This window comes from Homo sapiens, chromosome 12, assembly GCF_000001405.40.
Source record: "Homo sapiens chromosome 12, GRCh38.p14 Primary Assembly".
NCBI classification, from domain to species: Eukaryota; Metazoa; Chordata; class Mammalia; order Primates; family Hominidae; genus Homo; species Homo sapiens.
Window position 1 is genome coordinate 12,353,423 of NC_000012.12, and position 22,619 is coordinate 12,376,041.

Genomic DNA, 22,619 nt, shown 5'->3' on the forward strand with positions numbered 1-22,619 from the left:
AGTTTCAGCTACTTGGGAGGCTGAGACAGGAGGATCTCCTAAGAGCCTAGGAGGCTCTTAGGAGGCTGTAGTGAGCCATGATAGCATCACTGCACTCCAGCCTGGGCAACAGAGTGAGACCCTGTCCCTGCCCTCCCCAAGAAAAGAATAAATGTTATGATAGAAGATGGCAACTAAAAAGGCTCAGAGAAGGGACATCTGATCCCAATTTCTGGGAAGAGGTGTTAATTATTGAAGAATGAAGTTATTAGCAGATGAGGAGGAAAAGGCTGAATATTTCAGGAATAGGAAACTGCATGACCACAGGAAATTCAGCCTGTTAGGAAGGTTACCAGTGTACACAGAAGAATAGAGAGAGAGGCTGGGGTCAGAGCAGGAAGGTTTTCATATGTTAAATCTTAAACTTTATCCTAAAGGCATGGGGAGTTCCTGAAGGCTTTTTGTAGGGCAGTGACAGGTCCAGAGACCTAATTAATATTCTAGAAAATTATCTCTACCTGCCACAGGAGGGATGGATTGAGGGACGTGAGGCCAGAGGCCTCTCTTCCAAGAAACGGAAGTGATAAGGCCCTGAAATGGGCATGCAGATAGAGGAGAAATTAAGAGGAGAGGCTCTCCAGGACACAACGATTGGTTGGATGCAGTGCTGACAGTAAGCAGGCTTCTGGCTTGGGAGCCTGGTTGGGTGGGAGTACCAGGTCATATAAAGACACGGGAAGAGGAGTCAGTCTGGAGTGGACAGAGGCATGATGAGTTTTGAAAACGTGAATCCTGGTTTTATCACTCACTAGTTGTGTGACCAAGAATAAATCACTTAACTTTTCTGTAAAATTAGGAAAGTGGTATCTACTTTACACGCAGGTCATAATATAGACCTTTTTATGCAGGTCTAACATATAGACCTGCAGACCTGTAAACTCAAAAAGGCTGTTCAATTGCTAGTTATTACATATACAATAACACAGTTTGCTGCTCATGTAGAAGGGATTTTAAAGGTGCTAAAAGACATCAATCTGAAATGTTTCCTAGCTATAAAGCTCTTCCAGCAGACTCCTTATGTTATATAAATGCTCATTTAATTTTCTTGCCACCAGACTGTAAGCTTCCTAAGTACAGGGATTGGGCCTTGTTGAATTTTTTATTTTTAACGTGTAGCAAGTGCCTAGAACATTTCAGGTTCCCAAGAAATGTTAAGCCAGTGAAGGAAGGAATTTTATCTTCATATGTTCTTTTACTGAATATAGCTTTATGGATATGGAATTTGTATACCATACAATTTACCCTGGTAAAGTGTACTCTACAGTGGTTTTTAATATATTCAGAGTTGTGCATTCATCATTACAATTTTAGAACATTTTCATCAACCCCAGAAAGAAACCCCATACCCAATAATAGTCTACATTTCCCTTCCACCCGTACCCCTCCTCGGCCTTAGGCAACACTAACATATTTCTCTCTCTGTAGTGCTTCTCCTGGACATTTCATATAAATGAAATCTACAATATGTGGTCTTTTGTGATACGCTTTGTTTTTTTTTTTTTTGAGACGGAGTCTTCGCTCTGTCGCCCAGGCTGGAGTGCAGTGGTGCGATCTCTGCTCACTGCAAGCTCCGCCTTCTGGGTTCAAGCGATTCTCCTGCCTCAGCCTCCTGAGTAGCTGGAAATACAGGCGCCCGCCACCACGCCCGGCTAATTTTTTTTGTATTTTTAGTAGAGACAGGATTTCAGTTTGTCAGCCAGGATGGTCTCAATCTCCTGACCCCGTGATCCGCCCGCCTCGGCCTCCCAAAGTGCTGGGATTACAGGCGTGAGCCACCGCACCCGGCCTGACAGGCCTTTTTCATATTGAATAATGTTGTCAAGGTTACTCTATGTTGTAGCATGTATCAGTATGATTTCATCCTTCCCTCATTTTGGCTGAATAAATATTCCATGATTACCACACTTTATTTATCCATTCATCAGTTGATGCGACAGACTATCCTTTTAAGAATGAAATGTTTATTCAAAAGGAAGCATAAAAAACACCATCACATCAGTATGGACTGGTGTATGGAACACAAGACAAATATACTTTTATGTGGAAAAGGGGAAACAAGAACCAGAATGAGTTATTCTCCATTCCTCACCCCTTTTACCTCCTCTCTCACCTTCCCCTCAAAGAGGAAATCTGGGAGGGGATGCAAGGACTCTCCAAAAGGGAATGGTCTCACTGCTTAGTGGGCCCTTCCCAGTCCCATCAGCCTGGTGTGGTTTATGTAAACCTCAAGACTAGTTAGACACAACTTTCTAGAAGCCTGCCCTGATCTCTCAGGCAGTTTTTAGTTCTATCTTCATATTCCCAGAGAACACTGTACTTAGATTCATTTGCATTTTTCTCATTGTATTGCAATGGTGAGCAGAGGAAAGAGCATCAGATAGTCCTAAATAGTTCGACCACTGACCACCTGCTGACCATGGAGGAGTCACCTACTTACAGGCTGCAGGGTTGTTGTGAAAATTAAATAAGGTAAAATAGGGGAAATTATTGTGATATAGTAGAGTGGAAGGGACTTAAAAATCATTTAGTCAACTTGACACTTCTTCTGAGACTTTTTTTTTTTTTTTTTTTTTTGAGACGGAGTCTCGCTCTGTCGCCCAGGCTGGAGTGCAGTGGCGCGATCTCGGCTCACTGCAAGCTCTGCCTCCCGGGTTCACACCATTCTCCTGTCTCAGCCTCCCGAGTAGCTGGGACTACAGGCGCCCACCATCATGCCCGGCTAATTTTTTGTATTTTTTAGTAGAGACGGGGTTTCACCATGTTAGCCAGGATGGTCTTGATCTCCTGACATCGTGATCTACTCGCCTCAGCCTCCCAAAGTGCTGGGATTACAGGCGTGAGCCACCCCGCCTGGCCAGAGACTACATTTTATACATATAAAATCTCAAGGCATTTACTTGAAATTTCTTGACGCAGACAATGTAATATAAAATGAGTTGCAAAGTTCGGAGAACGCTAGAGCCAGCTAACTCCTTGATGGCATTGCATTGCTAGGTCTACTTTCTTGCCCTAGCAAAAATGGCAGTTTCCTTTCTGGATTACTCCCTCCTCACCTTCTGTTAGTTTCAGAGTGACTTGTTGATAACTGCCAAGGTCCCCAGAAAGCGCCTAGCCAAAAAGGTTCTTCACTTCTCTTTAAAGATGTGCACTCCCTAATACATGAAACAGCATTTTCTATTTCTTAATTTTTCTCTCATTTCCAGCTGCTGCTTTCACCGTCTTCTGGTATTTTTTTGTTTGGTCGTCCACTGCTAAACTCCCAGCTCTTCAGAATTCAAAATGAGCTTTGCATCCAAGCTGTTGTGGGTTCGAATCCTGGGTCTATCTAGCGTTTCTTTCTCCATCTGTAAAACAGGGTTAAAAATACCTATTTTGTAAAGTTGTTCTCACATGTGGGTATTGAAGAGCTTAATAGTGTGGGTGGTGTTTTAAAGGTGACGCATCCTTACAACAGGAAAGGGCTTACCCTCTTCCGCAGTTCTGGCTTCGAGGAGGTCAAGCCCTTTAAGGTGGCATCGCCCTAAGTCGCAGGAGCGGGTCTCTCCGCCCCTCCCTCGGGCCGGGGGGCGGGGCCTCCTAATCCGGAACTGAAGGTCTTGCGTAGCCGGCACCGCCCATCTGCGTCCCGGAAGGAGCGAGCTTGCGGAGCGTGAACCAGTGAGTGAAAGCGGCGCCGCCCGCCGGCCGCAGGTGCGGCAAAGCCAGTGTCATCTGCCGGTTCTCTTAGGGCTCCCGGAAAGAAGGAGGGCTAGCCGCGTGCGTTCGCGCCGCGCCTCCTTGCGTTTCTGTTCCCCAAATAGGGCCTCTCCTTCTCCCGCCGCCCAGGCCCCTGCGTGGGCTGGACGCGTCAGCCCCACACATTAGCCTCGCTGCGGCGCCCAGACTCTGCTTTGCCTCCCCGTCCCGGTCCCTGGCCCCTGCCCTGTCGCCCGCCGCCGGAGCGGTGACCGCCCGGCCCGCCGTTCTTCTGCTGCCACCGCTGTCGGCACCATGGGCAGTGAGCAGAGCTCCGAGGCCGAGAGCCGACCCAACGATCTGAACTCCTCAGGTCGGTGTCCTAACCTCCCACCCTCCTCCAGCCCGCCCTGTCCCCTTGCAGAGCGGGCTGCCTCCCAGACTAGGGTCAGGGACTGCGGACGGGAACGCACAGAAAAAGCCTTCACCGTGCTAGTAGGAAAAAAAAAAAGTCACCATCTGTCCTGGCCTCGATTCCCCTGATGGAAGTGCGTGTGACTGCAAGCTAAGCCAGCGTGGGCGCCAGTGCCCTTATTTATTTTCAAAACAGCCGTTTCTCCCAGCTACAGCCTCCTGTTTAAAAGACGAGCTAATTAATTTTTGGCTCTAGTGCTCATGGCTGATGTAGTGAGATTTGGCTCACACAGTGGATGGATTATAGGACCTCTAAGAACAGTCTGTTTCTTAAAAACGGGTGTTAGAGGTTCCTTTTCTGAAGGGATATGTGATAGGTGTCCACTTGCTTTGAACCCTTTAGTGCAAAGGTCTCCAGAAACAGCTTTTTCTTCTCAGAAGGTGTCTTGGTCCGTTTTCTAATCTTGTAGAGGTTGGCCAGACAGCAGGCACTGGTGTTTTCCATTGTTGTTCTCTGTCCATGATTTTTAGACTTCTCTAAGCGTTTGAGACAAGAATGGGAGGATTATTGTGTTTGCAATACAGTGAGTGTTCAATAAATAGATAAAGCAGCTGATGTTTAATTGAGGACCATTTGCTGCTTTTTTTGTTACCCACACGCTAGGACAGCTGGGAGTGCTTTGGTTAAGCTCCGGGGTTGCTAACGCAAATTGGTTAAATCTGGGGCCTAAAAAGAGTCGCCGATTTTAGAAGTTCTCTGTTCTTGATAGGAGCTGTAATTCAGAAATAGGCAAGCTAATAGATCTAAGGGTGTTTCACTTTAAGGTGTGACTTTCAAGACTAGTTCAGACCTACATTCTGGGGACTGGATTGGGGCAGCTTTGAATGGTGAGCAGCATCTACTAGCTTTGCTACGTTTTTCTATTTCCTTGGAAGGGCCAGAGTGTCATATCTGTTATAAGAAATATAATAATTGCCACCTTTGACATTCTTGCCTCTATGGCAGGGCAGAAACATATTTTAGGGGGAAGCGGTGTGGCATCTTTTTAATTTGTTTTCTTGCCCATGAACCAACAGCATTCGAGCATTTCCGATGTTAGAATTTGCCTATTCCCCTGTGCCCGGTACTTTACATACATTTACATATAATTTTTGCAGTAATCCCATTTTACAGATAAAGTAGTAGAGGTTAGCTAGAGTGTTTTGAAGTCCCCTTTCCTCTGGTATCTGGGGAAGGAGGAATCACAATTTATAGCAGGAAAGATTTCTGGCATGGCTTTTGTAAAATGTTAGGTAAATTACCAAAACAGGTAAATAAATATTTCTTGAAAAGAAATAAAAGCAGCAGAGATTTTTCTAGAAGAGTGAATGCCAAGCCTCCGGAGACGAGCTTCTAGGAGGCAGAACAGTTCTATGGCATCCCTGGATTAACCTTTGAGATATGACTATAATGAGCCTGGGAATATTACCTTCTAGAGCATAAAACACTTTAAAGATTCATTCTTGTCCCAGTCTGGAAGATATTTGGGGGAGAGGATGATTTCTTGGTCTAGGGAGTCCTTTATAATTTGAATCACTTCCCTCCAAATGGATTACTTTCTCCCAAGGAACCTGAATTGATCTCCCTCTTTGTCCTCCAAATTTCTGATTTTTGCCTCAGCCTAGAATGGACTTACTGGCTATTTTTGCCCTGGACTAATGCTATAATTTTAAGAGTGAGGGGGCTGTAGTCCTAGCTACTCAGGCCCAGGTGGGAGGATTGCTGGAGCCCAGGAGTTTAAATCCAGCCTGGGCGATGTAGTGAGACTTGACTCTTTTTTTTTTTTTTTTTTTGAGACAGTCTCACTGTCACCTAGGCTGGAGTGCTGTGGCATGATCTTGGCTCACTGCAACCTCCGCCTCCCGGATTCAAGCAATTTTCCTGCCTCAGCCTCCCAAGTAGCTGGGATTACAGGGACATGCCACCACGCCTGGATAATTTTTGTATTTTTAGTAGAGATAGGGTTTCACCATGTTGGCCAGGCTGATCTCGAACTCCTGACCTCAAGTGATCCACCTGGCTTGGCCTCCCAAAGTGCTGGGATTACAGGCGTGAGCCACCGTGCCCAGCCGCCTTGACTTAAAAAAAAAAAAAAAAGAGTGAGGAGGCTGAAGCCTCGGGAATAGGCCAGTCATTCGGGGGTTGAGAACAGGTTTTTTTCCTGGACTTACTAAACATAGCTGGCTTGATGTGGTAGGGTGGATAGACAGCTTTGCAACTCCAGTGTCGCAGAGATGGGCCTTGTGTACCAATAACTTGTAGATGTCTAATTCCTTTCCTAACTGTCTAGCACTGCTGACTTTGGGCAAGTCACAGTTAAATTTTGTACCCTTTATTTCTCATTTTAGAAATAGGGAGATATATATATATATCTCAAGATAGCAGGAGAATTAAAGAGAAAGTAAAAACAATCTGCCTATACTTTTGTGTGCTGAAAAAGAAAATATTTAGTTATGAAAGAAGTTCATTCATGTTATATAATCCTGTAATGGGCTGGGCGTGATGGCTCACACCCGTAATTCTAGCACTTTGGGAGGCCGAGGTGGGTGGATCACGAGGTCAGGAGTTCGAGACCAGCCTGGCCAATATGGTGAAACCCCATCTCTACTAAAAATACAAAAATTAGCCAGATGTGGTGGTGCATGCCTGTTGTCCTAGCTACTCAGGAAGCTGAGGCAAGAGAATTACTTGAACCCAGGAGGCGGAGGTTGCAGTGAGCCGAGATTGCACCACTGTACTCCAACCTGGCGACAGAGCGAGGCTCTGCCTCAAAATAAAATAAAATCCTGTAATGTCTGAGGGTTTTTGTTGTTGTTGTTGTTTTGTTTTTTGAGACTCTTGCTGTCTTACCCATGCAGTGGTGTGATCATGGCTCACTGTGGTCTTGACCTCCTGGGCTCAAGTGATCCTCCCATCTCAGCTTCCTGAGTAGCTGGGACTACAGTGTGCACCACCACATCTGACTAATTAAAAGAAATTTTTTTTTTTTTTTTTTTTTTTTTTAGAGATAGGGTCTCACTATGTTGCCCAGGTTGGTCTTGAACTCCTGGACTCTGGTGATCCTCCCACTCAGCCTTTCAAAGTGCTGAGATTACAGGCATGAGCCACCACACCCAGCCTGAGGTGGCGTTTTTGTTTGTTTGTTTTTGAGACAGAGTCTCACTCTGTTGCCCAGGCTCAAGTGCAGTGGCACGATCTTGGCACACCGCAACCTCCGCCTCTCGGGCTCAAGTGATTCTCCTGCCTCAGCCTCCTGAGTAGCTGGGATTACAGGCACCCGCCACCATGCCCCGCTAATTTTTGTGTTTTTAGTAGAGACAGGGTTTCGCCATGTTGGCCAGGCTGGTCTTGAACTGCTGACCTCAGGTGATCTGCCCACCTCGGCTTCCCAAAGTGCTAAGATTACATGCATGAGCCACCGTGCCTGGCTCCAGCCTGAGCTTTTAAAAATACTATAGAAAACAGTTTCTATAATTCATCCCTGCCACCCCAACCCCAACTGCAAGATAGCTACATTTTATAAAATTATTCTTTTTAATCACTACACCAAAAACTGCTTTGGTGAGGCAGAGATGCCTAATATGCATCTCCTAAGCAGTGTAACTTTATTTTCAGTGACTCCTTCACCAGCCAAGCATAGAGCCAAGATGGATGATATTGTGGTTGTAGCTCAGGGCTCCCAGGCCTCACGGAACGTCAGCAACGATCCCGATGTCATCAAGTTGCAAGAGATTCCAACCTTCCAGCCCCTTTTGAAAGGTAAAGGATTGCGTTTTGTTTTATCTGAACTTGCTGGAGACGTTTGTGTAGCCCTACTACTTTCCCTCTACTTATCCATGTATCTTGCTCTCTCATCTCCTTTAGGTCTTTGCTTAAATGGCATCTTCTCAGTGAAGCCTTTCTTGATTTCCTTAATTAAAACTGCAGCCCCTTTGCCTACCTGTTTTTCTCTATAGCACTTAATTATCATTGACCTATTGCAAATATCTTTATCTGTCTATATTTCTCTGCTAGAATGTGAGCTCCATGATGGCAGGTATTTTCTCTTTTGCTCACTGTTGAATTCCCAGCACGTGAAATATAATCTGGTATAAGATAGGGACTAAGTGAATGAATGAGGTTGGAAATGGCCCTTCCCTGTTATATTCCCATGGAAAGATTTTCATTCTTATTTGTGATCTGGACAGTGGGTGGACTAGTTCAGATCCATAGAGAAAAATCTCCATCACTACTGATACACTCGTAATTAATCCTGGCGGCAGTTTTATATGAGAGTGTGTGTTTGAGAAGAGAGATTACCCACCCAATTAGCATATACTGTGGTAGTTACCTTTTGAACGAAGGCCACAACTTTATTATTTTTGTATCTCTATTAAGTAGTGGAGATTATTTTATATTAACTGGTGTTTCTGCTGTAAGAGTCCTTCAGTTCTCTCCTCCCTCACCCCCACCAAAGATTAGGAAATAATGAACATAAGGCCCTGGTTTACTTAACTTGGTATAATACAGTGTAAAACATCTTACATTTACATAGCTATTTGAATTAAAATGCCCCTCCTCATACACATATCATCCCTTTAATTCTTACATCATTAAATGTGTTTCAATGATTGGGGTAAGATAAGCTTCTTATAAGCCTTTTATAAGGCAGCTGGCATACACAGAGGTTGTACTTGAACCTTCTTCATTGATGTCAAATCCTATATTACACTGTTCCACACTATTTAGAAAACAAAAACAAATGGTGCTTTATAGATGATCCATATATTGTCTTATTCTTACCAGTGCTTCATCTGTTTCATAAATAAGGAAATACAAGCTTTCAGTTTCTTTTTTATTATTATTTAAGTTTTAGTGTACATGTGCACAACATGCAGGTTTGTTACATATGTATACATATGCTATGTTGGTGTGCTGCACCCATTAACTCGTCATTCACATTAGGTATATCTCCTAATCAATTTCTTCCCTACAGGCCTGAGAGTTAGACTTTGGTAAACATTCTGGCTCTTATGTAAAACAACACATTATATCATGTTACTCATCTTTTTTTTTTTTTTTTTTTTTTTTTTAGAGTTTTGCTCTGTCACCCAGGCTGGAGTGCAATGGCTTGATCTTGGCTTACTGCAACCTCCACCTCCCAGGTTCAAGTGATTCTCCTGCCTCAGCCTCCTGAAGTAGCTGTGATTACAGATGCCTGCCACCACGCCAAGCTAAATGTTTTTATTATTATTATTTTTAGTTGAGATGGGGTTTCACCATGTTGGCCAGGCTGGTCTCGAACTCCTGACCTCAGGTGATCCACCCACCTCGGCCTCCCAAAGTGCTGGGATTACAGGCGTGAGGCACCTTGCATGGCCTACTCATCTTCTTAGTTTTCATGATTTTGAGGAATAATGTGATTCTCTAAAGAAGTTAACAATAGTAGGGCATGGTGGCTCACACCTGTAATTCCAGCACTTTGGGTGGCTGAGGCAGGAGGATCACTTGAGTCCAACAGTTCAAGACCAGCCTGGGCAACACAATGAGACTCTGTCTCAACAGATAATACAAAAAATTAGCCAGGCATGGTGGCACATACCTGTCGTCCCAGCTAGTTGGGAAGCTGTTGTAGAAGGATCGCTTGAGCCCAGGAGGTCAAGGGTGCAGTGAGCAGTAGTCATGTCAGTACACTTCAGCCTAGGTGACAGAGTGAGATCCTGCCTCAAAAGAAAAAAAAAAAAAGCCGGCCAGGCGCTGCGGCTCATGCCTATAATCCCAGCACTTTGGGAGGCCGAGGTGGGTGGATCACCTGAGGTTAGGAGATCAATACCAGCCTGGCCAACATGGTGAAACCCCATTTCTACTAAAAATACAAAAAATTAGGCCGGGCGCAGTGGCTTACGCCTGTAAAACAGCACTTTGGGAGGCCAAGGCGGGTGGATCATGAGGTCAGGAGATCGAGACCATCCTGGCTAACACGGTGAAACCCTGTCTCTACTGAAAGTACAAAAAAAATTAGCCGGGTGTGGTGGCGGGTGCCTGTAGTCCCAGCTACTTGGGAGGGTGAGGTAGGAGAATGGCATGAACCTGGGAGGCAGAGCTTGCATTGAGCCAAGATTGTGCCACTGCACTCCAGCCTGGGTGACAGAGCAAGACTCCATCTCAAAAAAAAAAAATTAGCTGGGTGTGGTGGTGTGCACCTGTAAACCCAGCTACTCAGGAGGCTGAGGCAGGAGAATTGCTAGAACCAGGAGATGGAGGTTGCAGTGAGCTGAGACTACCACTTCATTCCAGCTTGGGCAACAACAGTGAAACTCCATCTCAGAAAAAAAAAAAATATCTGCATATAACTTTCAACTTAGCCAAAACTTAACTACTAATAGCCTTCTGTTTACTAGAGGCCTTACTGATAGCATAAACAGTTGATTAACACATCTTTTGTGTTATATGTTATTATATACTATATTATTACAATAAAGTAAACTAGAGAAAAGAAAATGTATTAAGAAAATTATAAGGAAGGCCAGGCACAGTGGCTCATGCCTGTAATCCTAGTACTTTGGGAGGCCGAGGAGGATGGATCACTTCAGGTCAGGAATTCGAGATCAGCCTGGCCACCATGGTGACACCCCATCTCTACTAAAAATACAAAAATTAGTTGGGTGTGGTGGCGTGCAGCTGTAGTCCCAGCTACTTGGGAGGCTGAGGCACAAGAATCGCTTGAACCCGGGAGGCAGAGGTTGCAGTGAGCCAAGATCATGCCACTGCACTCCAGCCTGGGTGACAGAGTGAGACTTGGTCTCAAAGAAAAATATAAGGAAGAGAAAGTATATTAACTATTCATTAAGTGGAAGTAGATCATCAGAAAGATCTTCATCATTGTCTTCACGTTGAGTAGGCCGAGAAGGAGGAAAAGGAGGGGTTAGTTTTGCTGTCTTAGGGGTGGCAGAGGCAGAAGAAAATCTACGTATAAGTGGACCCACGTGGTTCAGACCCATGTTGTTGTTCAAGGGTCAGCTGTAATTCGTTTTATGATTAATCACTAGTAGGGGAAATATCTAGAAGACTTGGTGTTAAGGGAAGCTAACCTCAGATTTGAAGTCATCACTGAGGGCTGGCCATGGTGGCTCACGCCTGTAATCCTAGCACTTTGGAAGGCCAAGGCGGTTGGATCACCTGAGCACAGGAGTTTGAGACTAGCCTGGCCAACATGGCAAAACCCTGTCTCTACAAAAGATACAAAACTTAGCCGGGCATGGTGGTGGGCACCTGTAGTTCCAGCTACTCAGGAGGCTGAGGTGGGAGTATCACTTGAGCCCTAGAGGTGGAGGTTGCAGTGAGCCAAGATTGCATCACTGCACTCCAATCTGGGCAACAGAGCAAGACTCTGTCTCAAAATAAATAAATCATCACTGAGTGCCCTGAAAGTGAATAATTAATGTGATGCAGTTAATGCAATGCAACTGGACCTGGTTGCATTGATAAATGAGTTTTAACTGGGACTTTGCCACCAACTATTATGTTGTCTGGCTTTGTTTTTCCACCTTTTTGAGCCTTGGTTATTAAGAACATTGAGAATAGGTGAGGAAGGAGGAAGGCTAGTAAGGAGCAGATTATAGGAAGAGGTTATCGGGGATTTGGTTAAGGAAGGTAGAGATGAGATCATGGCTCACTCCAGCCTCCACCTCCTGGGCTCAAGCGATCCACCCATCTCAGCTTCCAGAGTAGCTGGGACTACAGTGTGCACCACCACACCCGGCTAATTAAAATACATTTTTTTTTTTTTTTGTAGAGACAGGGTTTCACTATGTTGCCCATGTTGGTCTTGAGCTCCTGGACTCCAGTGCTCCTCCCACCTTAGCCTCCCAAAGTGCTGAGACTACAGGCATGAGCCACCATGCCCGGCCCGAGTTTCAAAAAATACTATAGAAAATAGTTTGTATAATTCATCCCCCCCACCCCAACCCCCACTTGATGAGAGTGGCGTGAATCTAGAAATGACAACATGTGGCTGTGGCCAGACTATAGCAAACAAAAAGCCAGTGAGCATTGAAGGTGATGCTCATGTTTCACTTGTGAAGACGAAACATCTTGGGCCGTGATTAGGAAAGATAGGCAAAGGGGGTGGAAATGATAAGTTTAATTATGATAATAGTATCTTATCCCCCATGCTTCTACATAATAGCTATTGTTCTTTCTGTTTTTATAGATTAAAATATTGAGGCCTAGAGAGCTTAAATTAATTGCCTAAAGTCACATGGCTGTAAGTGATAGCACATTTTAAGATTGCATCAGGACATAGAATAAGACTTAGTTTCCAATTCTAGCAAAGCCCATTATAGAAATCACTAGGATATACAGGAACTAGCGTGGTGGGTATGAGGTTGTTTGGGTTTTGAGGTGCAGCATTTGTTGCAGAGCCTCCTGCTTTGACGTTGTTCTGCCTGATAATTAAAAGCCCTACCCTCTGCCTGCTGGGCTGCTGCAGGGGCCAGGCATCACTGTCGCCTTTATACTCTGACTCTTTTTTCCCCCTTTCCTGCTTTCAGGATGAGGCCATTCCTCAAAATAGTAAAAAGGCCACACAGTGAAGCCTGTACCCCCCAGGTTTGATTTCAGAAAGCTTTTATTCAACTTAATGACAGTTTATTCTTTCAAAACAATATATTGAAGTATTACACAGAGTTCACTATTGTTTCATAATGTCATATGATGTAATGCTAATGCTGGTGGGTGATCTGCAGAGGCAGTGGCTGGGCGAGTTTGGGGCTATTTGTATGACTGAGGTAATGTTTGCATTTTTAATAAGCAAGCAGATTCTTTCTTTGGCCTTAACCCTTTTGCATAAATATACCAGAGTATAATTTATGCTCCATAATCCAAATATCTGTTCCTTTTTTTATCAAAGGGATTTCTGTTTTTCATAGCAATGTCTGAATTAGTAATTTATTTTGACATGTAAAGCATTTTATAGGAAATGAAAGATTAGAAAATTAGAAAGTAGCTACAAATGGCTGTGACAGAACACAAAGGCAAAATAGTAGATTTGATGTAAGTTAGCAAGATTCCAAGAAGTTAACAAACCCTGTATAGATTTCTTACTTGAAATTCAACCACTCATATTTTTTAATGAATCCCACTCTATTGTATGTCATTCTAAAGAAATGAAATATTTGCAAGAGAAAAGTAATATGGTTGGTGTTTTATATATAAAGTTACAAAAATAATTATTCACTCTTAGTAGATGAATATGTGCATATTTACACACATGCATGCATGTGACATTCTTTCCAACCGATCTGTCATTTTTGTTACTGACCTTGGATACAACGTAAGAGATTGTATTGCTGCCTATGGAAGGGGCTGTTTTTGTTAATAACAAGGATGATCAAACATATACAGTGTAGATACTGAAGTGATACTAAGCAGCTTTGTTGGGAGTTTGGTGTTTGGTTGTTAAGAACATGATGCATGTGAAGTAGATTTTGATAATTAAAAGGAGCCTGGGGCTTTTCATAGTGGAGCGAAATCTCATGGAACAGCAGTGAAAGCTTTCAAATCACATGGAACATTGAGAACTGGAACCTGAAAGTGTAGCTAGGGAAGAATGAAGCAATGGAAAAAGGGCGATAAGGAGAGCATGATGGAGCTAGATTTCAAATGACCAGTTTCTTCACATTCTTCTGTCATCTGGACAAATAAAAGTCTTTGCATTCATCAGATGTCTGCCTCTACCAGCTGTCAGACCTTATCATTGCATTGGAAAATGGCAGCCAAAGGAGGGGACAAGAGAATGGATCTTAATCAGAGCCACAGTCTTCTCTGAATGGCTTAAAGGTAATCTCTAAACCCAGGGGTAATCCTAAGTATATTTTCTCCCAAATACCATATTGGAAAGATTGATGACTTATTCCTGATTACTTTATGGGTTTGTATTTGTAATAGCTCTTCAGTTAAGCTTTTAAACATGGCTATTCAGAGAAGTGTGAGTTGTGTGTAAAAACAAAAACAAAAATAAACATAGCTGTTTACCAGCATTGGGTTAGCCTTACTCAGAAGAGTGGGAAGTACCAGGTGAATGGTTGCTTTCAACCGATTGAGAAAGTGAAGCTGTCTCACCAGAACACCCTCATCTTTTCCCTTACTCCCATAAATCTCTGTGTGCCTGCATCCATTCTTGTTTCTTTCCATTAAGTCTCAGATGAGGTATTCATGCCTTTCTCTGAAACTTAATGCCATTCTGTTTCACTCTTTCCATTTGCTGGGACTTTGCTCCTGTCCTTTTCTCTTTTTGTCTCGCAACTAGCTTAGTGGACCTCTTTCCTCTTGTTCAGATATACAGCTCTTCCCATCTTAAAAACAGAAGACGAACACTTTCTTTCAATTCAGTTGCCCTCTTGGCTACCACGCTTTCTCTGTTCTCATTTCTGCTGCCAAACTTACTGACTCCATGGGTGCTACATGCTGTCCCTGCTTCCTTGATACCTCTGCCATTTGGGAAGTTCCCCTGGACAGGCTCTCATATACATAACTTCATCCATATTTGCTGCTTTGGAGGATTACTAGTGTTTTCTTTTCATGCTTGAAGTTTTTTTCTCAGTCCACATCCTCCTCTTCTTTTCCGTATTTAACATAGGTTTCTATCCCACTTGTTAAAACTCCCTTCCTTTAGTTTATGATACCTCCCCACCCAGTGGTATTCTGTTTTGTTTTTTTTTTTTTAATCTACTGGTTAGTCTCTATTCCTCTCTGCACAGCATTTTGCCTAGTGCTCTTTTGGAAAAACAAGATTCTAAGGCGCTTTAAGTATTCTGAAATGTAGCCATTAAGATGATTTTAAGTCTCTGTCATCAACTTCAACTTTTTTTTCTTTTCCTTCTTCTTTTTTTTGAGATGGGGTCTTGATCTGTCATCCAGGCTGGAGTGCAGTGGCACAATCATAGCTCACTGCAGCCTTGACCTCCCGGGCACAAATGATCTTCCAACCTCAGCCTCCCAAGGAGCTGGGACCACAGATGTACCACACCTGGCTAATTTTTTTTTTTTTTTTAATTTAGAGATGGGGTGTCACTCTGTTGTCCAAGCTGGTCTCAAGCCCTGGGCTCAAGCAGACCTCCCATCCTGGCCTCCCAGAGCACTGAGATTACAGGTGTGACCCACTGCACCTGGCCAGCTTCAACTCCTTGTTCTGTTTGTCCATCATCTTGCTCTGTTTGTCTATACAGTCGCTTTAAATTCAGCGTATTCCATCTTCCACTTGTGTATTATGTATTTATTCATTTTATTTATTCAACAAACACTGGATCTTCTTAGGCAAGTAGTGTACACTTGAAAAGAATGTGTTCTGTAGTTAATGGGTATAGTGTTCTATAAATATCACTTAGGTCAAGAAATGGTGATGTTCAAATCTTGTGTGTGCATATTGATTTATTTCATTAATTTGATCACTTAATGAAAGAGAGGTATTCAAATATCCAGCTATTTTTGTTAATTTGTCTATTCTGGTTATTCCATTGGTTTCTACTTTGTGTGTTTTGAAAGTCTATTATTAGGCATATATGCATTAAATATTATTATATTGATCCTTCCGTCTTTATGAAAATGTGCTACCTATGTGTTATTACCCCTGTCTTGTAGTCTAATTTGTTTTCTATCAATATAGCCACTCCAGCTTTCTTACACTTACTATTTGCATAGTATACCTTTTACTATTCTTTACTTATTTTTATCGATTTATGTCTTTATATTTAAAGGGCATCTCTTGTAGACAGCATATAGTAGGGTCTTGCTTTTGTATTTAGGCTATCGTCTGCTTTTTAATTGGTGTGTAAATTGATATGGTTGGATTTAGGTCTCCCATTTTGCTCTTCATTTTCTATTTGTGCTGTGTGCTTTTGGTTACTTTCATACTCCTTTCCTGCTTCCTTGCATTACAAAAATTTTTTTTTAGTATGTATTCCATTTTAGTTTCTTTTCTGGCTCTTTAAGTTATACTCCTTTGCATTATTTTTTTAGTGGTTGCTCTAGAGGTTACAATATAGTCTTGATATTTATTATAGTTCATTTAGAATTACTATTGTATCACTTCATGTAAAATGTAGGAAACTTTCAATGGTGTGGTTTCATTCACCCCCCACTTCTTTTTTTTTTTTTTTTTTTTTTTTTTTTTTGAGAAAAAGTCTTGCTCTGTGGCCCAGGAGGGAGTGCACTGGCACAATCTCAGCTCACTACAACCTCTGCCTCTCCAGTTCAAGTGATTCTTGTGCCTCAGCCTCCCGAGTAGCTGGGACTACAGGTGTGCGTCACCATGCCTGTCTAATTTTTTTATTTTTAGTAGAGATGGGGTGTCACCATGTTGGTCAGGCTGGTCTCGAACTCCTGACCTCAGTTGATCTGCCTGCCTCAGCCTCCCAAAATGCTGGAATTACAGGCATGAGCCACCACGCCCGGCCCACCTTCACTTCTTTGTGCTATTGCTTTCATATATATTGCATCTACATACGTTAGAAATCCCATAGTGGTTTTATACACACACACACACACACACACACACACACACACACGTTTTTGTTTTAATAATATATTTTTTGAAGTGATTAAGAGAAGAAAATAACTATATATAGAATGTGATGTTTACCCACATAGTTAACATTTCCAGAATTCCTAATCCCTTTCTCCAGTTTCCATTTGATGTCATTTATTTTTAGTTTAAAGGACTTCTTTTAGCATATCTTGCAGTACAGGTCAGCTGGAAAAAAGTCCTGTTTTTATCTATCTGAACTTTTTTTTGCCCACTTTTGTTATAAAGTCATTTTTTGGTGTAATTACTAAGTTTTTGAAGACATATTGTGAGACTCCATGAAATCTCATTTTTTAATCTACCTTTATTTCATCAGTTATAATATCTATTGATGATTCTTGCTTGAATTAATTATGCTGTGATGGCTACCAAATAACTGTTTTCTAAATTTTTCATTCCTTCTACATTTATTAGTTTATATTCTATTGGAAGGAATAGGTTTCTCATCTCCCCATTTATTTATTCAAATCAGTGCGGGAACAGTCAGCTCCTATTTTATCCAATGAGTTGTATGTAATCTGTTATTATCATTATTTCTTTTTCAATCTCAAAATGTTCCAAAATTGGCCAGTGACAGCATCTTCAATCTAACTTCCTGTGTCCTTTTTTTTTTGGAGATGGAGTCTCGCTCTGTGGCCCAGGCTGGAGTGCAGTGGTGCGATCTTGGCTCACTGCAAGCTCTGCCTCCTGGGTTCACGCCATTCTCCTGCCTCAGCCTGCCGAGTAGCTGGGACTACAGGCGCCCACCATCATGCCCAGCTAATTTTTCTGTATTTTTAGCAGAGACGGGATTTCACTGTGTTAGCCAGGGTGGTCTCGATCTCCTGACCTTGTGATCCGCCCACCTCGGCCTCCCAAAGTGCTGGGATTACAGGCGTGAGCCACTGCGCCTGGCCTACTGTGTCCTTTTAACATATTCCCCTTATACTTTGAAAATGTCTTTATTTTCTGGCACAATATAATGTTCCAGACTTATTTTGTTCTTCCATGTCTCCAGCTCTAGAATCGGGTATTTCTTAAAGGAACCCTGGTTCTTTTAGTGAAGGGTCTTATTTAGAATCCATTTCTGGACCTTCTCAGAAGATTTAGCTAGGGAATCCATAGATACACACCCACACATTTACACCTATGTTTATTTTTTATATGTTCGTGTATTTGGCAACACGATCTTGCCCTTTCACCCTGGCTGGAGTGCAGTGGCACAATCACGGCTCACTGCAGCTTTGACCTCCTGGGCTCAAGGAATCCTCCTACCTCAGCCTCCTGAGCAGCTGGGACTACTCTGCGTGCCACCACGCCCAACTAATCTTTTTGTATTTTTTGTAGAGATGGGGTTTCCCAATGTTGCCTAGGCTAGTCTCAAACTCCTGGGCACAAGCGATCCACCTGCCTCAGCCTCCCAAAGTGCTGGGATTGCAGGCATGAGCCACCATGCCTGGCCTATATTTTCTATATATTGAAAATGACAAGTTCACACTAATATGTTCTCTATGTTCTTTGATCTGCAGGTTTGTACTTTTAATCGAAAACTTTGGTCATTATGTCTTCCAATATTTTTCTGCTCCCCCCACCTGCTTTTTGTGGGACGCCAATTCGATGTTAGACCGCTTGATATTTTCTTACACATCACTGACACACCTTTCAATTTTTATTTTTAGTCTTTTCCTTTCTGTCCTTACTTTGGATAATTTTTACTGCTGTGTTTCCATGTTCAGTGGTCTTTTTTTCTGTCATGTCTGTACTGCTTTTAATCTCATCCAAGGTGTTCTTAATTTCAGATGCTGGTATTTTTCAGCTTTAGATTCTCCCCCTTAAATGTCTTTGATCTCTCTGCTTATCATGCTTATGTTTTCCTCTACTTTTTGAACGTATGAGTACTTCAATTTTATTTTAATTTTATTTTTAAGAGGGAGTTTCGCCCTTGTCGCCCAGGCTGGAGTGCAATGGCACGATGTCAGCTCACTGCAACCTCTGCCTCTAGGGTTCAAGCAATTCTCATGCCTTAGTCTCCTGAGTAGCTGGGATTTCAGCCACCCGCCACCATGCCCAGCTAATTTCTGTACTTTTAGTAGAGACGGGGTTTCGCCATGTTGGCCAGGCTGGTCTTGAACTCCTGACCTCAGGTGATCCACCTGCCTCGGCTTCCTAAAGTGCTGGGAGTAGAGTGCATTTCTTTTAAAATTTACTTACTAATTTTTTTTTTCCTTTTAGAGACAGGATCTCGCTCTGTTGCCCAGGCTAGAGTGCAGTGGCACCACCGTGGCTCACTGCAGCCTCAACCCCCCTGGGCTCAAGCAAACCGCCTGCTTCAGTCCACCAAATTGTTGGGATTACAGGCATGCACCACCACACCTGGCCTGGATTTCATTTTATTCCTTTAAGGATACCAGACTTTATTCTGGCATATACATATGGTTAAGTTACTTGTAGTCATTTGGACCCTTCCCATGTTTTCTTTTAAATACCGTTGGGGCTCATCTAGTGCAGTCTTTGCCTAGTTTAATTTCATCTCACTACTAAGGTGAAATCCTTCTGAGTACTCTACCTGTTGCCTTATGTATTATGAAGTCTCTCCACTGTGGCTAATGGGAACATGAGCTCTTCAGAAAATATTTGGCCTACTGCTTCTCTCTAGTTTTCTCCAGTCTCTGGAATTTCACCTTACAAATTTACAGATGATGTTTTCAGAGATTTAAGGGTACCCTGTGCAGATCTCAAGGCTGCCCCCTTCTCTCCCATATTCTGTTGTGTAAATCCTACCCACTTTAGTTTCTGCAAACTTTGCTCTCTCTCTAACTCAGTGAGGCTGCTGGGCTTTTTTTGATGTCCATTCTGCTATGGACTGAATGATTATGTCTCCCCCCAATTCACAGGTTGAAATTGTAATCCCCAATATGCTGTATTAGGAGATGGGGCCTTGGGAAGTGATTTGATCATGAGGGTGGAGCCCTCATGTCATGGGAGTCACGCCCTTACAAGAAGAGAGGGGAGAGAGGTTCCTTCTTCCTTCTGTTCTTAGCCATGTGAGGACACAAGGAGAAGACAGCCATTTGCAAACCAGGAAGAGTGCCCTCACCAAATATCCAATGTGCTAGCACCTAAATCTTGTACTTCCCAGCCTCCAGAACTGTGAGAAATAAATGTATGTTGTTTAAGCCATCCAGTTTATGGTATTCTTGTTGTAGCAGCCTGTACCGACCAAGACACCTCCCTGGTCTGCCTCTTGGAAACTGCCTTTAGGTAATAAGCTGGGAAAATGGTAGGGCTTGTTTTCCTTCTTTCAGGGATCAAAGTCCTGTGCTGCCTGTTATACAGTATCGGAAATGAGTGTTTCATATATTTTTGTCTGGTTTTCTAGTTGTTTATTATTGCATAATAGCAGTTAATCCTTCATGTGCAGAGGCAGAAATCCTTAAAAAAATGCTTTTTAATCCATATTTTTCTGTCCGATACCAGTTTTTCCATTTTACTTATAAGACCCTCCTGCCAACAGCCTTTAATTGGTCATTCATTTCTGCAACATATTGATAAGCACCTGCTAAGTGCCTGATGTGGTCAGACAGTGCAGGTACAAAAAATAGAAGACATAGTTGCTGCCCTTTAGGACCTTATTGTTTTGTGAGCGATTTAGACAGGTAAGTATTCACAATAATATCATATTAGTAACACTGGCCACATGTCCCAAAGAGTAGATAAACATGGAGGAGATAATTATTAATTTGGCCTGGGAATTTGGGGCAGGCTTCCTAGAGGAAGTAGAATTCAGCTGAGCTTTGAGGGATGAATAGCAGGTAGCTACATAGAGAAGGCAGGGTTGCAGAGAGTATTCTTTTTTTTTTTTTTTTTTTTTTTTGAGACGGAGTCTCGCTCTGTCGCCCAGGCTTGAGTGCAGTGGTGCAATCTCGGCTCACTGCAAGCTCTGCCTCCCGGGTTCACGCCATTCTCCTGCCTTAGCCTCCCGAGTAGCTGGGACTACAGGTGCCCGCCACCACGTCTGGCTAATTTTTTTTTTGTATTTTTAGTAGAGATGGGGTTTCACTGTGTTAGCCAGGATGGTCTCGATCTCCTGACCTCGTGATCCGCCCGCCTCAGCCTCCCAAAGTGCTGGGATTGCAGGTGTGAGCCACCGCACCCGGCCAAGGGTATTCTTAGTTTAAAAGTCTTCTATATATATTTTAAAACATATTTAAAAGATGCTGGCCAGTCACAGTGGCTCATGCTTCTAATTCCAGCACTTTGGGAGGCCGAGGTGGGAGGATTACTTGAGCCCAGAAGTTTGAGACCAGCCTGAACAACATGGTGAGACCCTGTCTGTACTACAGAAAAAAAAAAAAAAGTTTATCTAGGTGTGGTGGTGTGCACCTGTACTCCCAGCTACTTGGGAGGCTGAAGTGGGAGGATCACTTGACCCTGGGAGGTCGAGCGGTGTTCATAGCGCTGTACTCCAGCCTGGGTGGCAGAATGAGACCCTGTCTCAAATAAAATAAAATAAAATAAAAGATGCCAAAAAGAATTCTTAACCAGGTCGGGCACTGTAGTTCATGCCTGTAATGCCAGCACTTTGGGAGGCTGAGGTGGGTGGATCACTTGAGGTCAGGAGTTTGAGACCACCCTGGCCAACATGGTGAAACCCCATCTCCACTAAAGACAAAAAAATTAACCGGGCGTGGTGGCGCACAGCTGTAATCAGCTACTGGGGAGGCTGAGGTGGGACAATCGTTTGAATGCAGGAGGCAGAGGTTGCAGTGAGCTGAGATTGCGTCACTGCATCCAGCCTGGGTGACAGAGTGAGACTGTCTCAAAAAAAAAAAAAAAAATTATTAACCAAGTTTGTATTTGGAATATACTGCTTTTCTTTTCTTTTCTTTTTCTTTTTCTTTTGAGCTGGAGTCTCTGTTGCCCAGGCTGGAGTGCAATGGCGCCATCTTGGCTCACTGCAACCTCTGCCTCCTGGGTTGAAGCAGTTCTCCTGACTCAGCCTCCTGAGTAGCTGATATTACAGGTGCCTGCCACCATGCCCGGCTAATTTTTGTATTTTTTTATAGAGACAATGTTTTACCATGTTGGCCAAGCTGGTCTCAAATTCCTGACCTCAGGTGATCCATCCGCCTCGGCCTCCCAAAGTGCTGGGATTATAGGCGTGAGCCACTGTGTCCGGCCTGTAGAGGAATCTTAAAACTGTCATAGTTGGCCTGGTGCAGTGGCTGATGCCTGTGATCATAGCACTTTGGAAAGCTGAGGCAGGAGGATTGCTTGAGGCCAGGAGTTTGAGACCAGCCTGGGCAACATAGACCTCATTTCTACAAAAAATTTGAAAATTAGCTGGTCATGGTGGCATGTGCTGGTAATCCCAGCTACTTAGGAGGCTGAGATGGGAAGCTCTCTTGATTCCAGGAGTTTGAGGCTCAGTGAGCTCCAGTCATACCACGGCACTCCAGCATGGGCAACAGAGTGAGACCCTGTCTCTGAAACAACAGCAACAACACAGTCATAGGTATTTAATAACGTTTAAATATTTTTTCCATCAAAATTCAGTTTCACAGAAAGCCAGTGAAATGCAAAGTGACATTTTAAAGAATGCACTTGGATAGATAATCATTTGCTTCTACCAACTGGTGAAAATCATCAGCAAAAGTTAGTAATCATGGTTTTTTTTGTTTGTTGTTGTTGTTGTTTTTGAGATGGAGTCCAGCCCAGGCTGGAGTGCAATGGTGCAATCTCAGCTCGCTGCAACCTCTGCCTCCTGGGTTCAAGTGATTCTCCTGCCTCAGCCTCCCGAGTAGCTGGGATTCTAGGCGTCCACCACCGCGCACAGCTAATTTCTGTATTTTTAGTGGAGATGGGGTTTCGCCATGTTGGCCAGGCTGGTCTCAAACTCCTGACCTCATG

At 43.3% G+C, this 22,619-nt stretch overlaps 1 protein-coding gene and 1 long non-coding RNA gene across 7 annotated transcripts in view, besides 4 other annotated features; one reads left to right on the forward strand and one right to left on the reverse strand.

The window, feature by feature from the left end:
• Positions 386-821: a transcriptional cis regulatory region, noted in NCBI's record as "candidate enhancer chr12.586 targeted for multiplex CRISPR interference". NCBI's record gives its function as "positively regulates BORCS5 and MANSC1 gene expression with high confidence in K562 cells {active_cell/tissue: K562}" and the evidence as "EXISTENCE:mutant phenotype evidence [ECO:0000015][PMID:30612741]".
• On the reverse strand, positions 1,986-3,645 carry LOH12CR2 (loss of heterozygosity on chromosome 12, region 2). Its single transcript, NR_024061.1, has 2 exons — positions 3,506-3,645; positions 1,986-3,383 (listed from the first exon to the last, which is right to left on the reverse strand). It is a non-coding gene; the product is annotated as a loss of heterozygosity on chromosome 12, region 2 (long non-coding RNA).
• Positions 3,441-4,119: an enhancer, noted in NCBI's record as "H3K27ac hESC enhancer chr12:12509797-12510475 (GRCh37/hg19 assembly coordinates)". NCBI's record gives its function as "activates a minimal SCP1, AML or CMV promoter by ChIP-STARR-seq in naive H9 embryonic stem cells {active_cell/tissue: H9 hESC(naive)}" and the evidence as "EXISTENCE:reporter gene assay evidence [ECO:0000049][PMID:30033119]".
• Positions 3,656-22,619, forward strand: part of BORCS5 (BLOC-1 related complex subunit 5) — a 114,156-nt gene continuing 95,192 nt past the window's right edge. For 2 of the 6 annotated variants that reach the window (NM_058169.6, XM_011520553.3), the window contains exons 1-2: positions 3,656-4,087; positions 7,784-7,927. In NM_058169.6, coding sequence (NP_477517.1) covers positions 4,030-4,087; positions 7,784-7,927 — 202 coding nt within the window. In that variant the 5' untranslated portion in view covers positions 3,656-4,029. Of the gene's footprint in view, positions 5,017-7,783; positions 7,928-22,619 lie in introns of all 6 variants that reach the window. The other 4 variants (XM_011520551.3, NM_001300742.3, XM_047428271.1 and 1 more) reach the window with 4 other exon arrangements.
• Positions 3,986-4,065: a silencer, noted in NCBI's record as "silent region_4253". NCBI's record gives its function as "represses an Ori minimal core promoter by ATAC-STARR-seq in GM12878 lymphoblastoid cells {active_cell/tissue: GM12878}" and the evidence as "EXISTENCE:reporter gene assay evidence [ECO:0000049][PMID:35858748]".
• Positions 5,006-5,085: an enhancer, noted in NCBI's record as "active region_6011". NCBI's record gives its function as "activates an Ori minimal core promoter by ATAC-STARR-seq in GM12878 lymphoblastoid cells {active_cell/tissue: GM12878}" and the evidence as "EXISTENCE:reporter gene assay evidence [ECO:0000049][PMID:35858748]".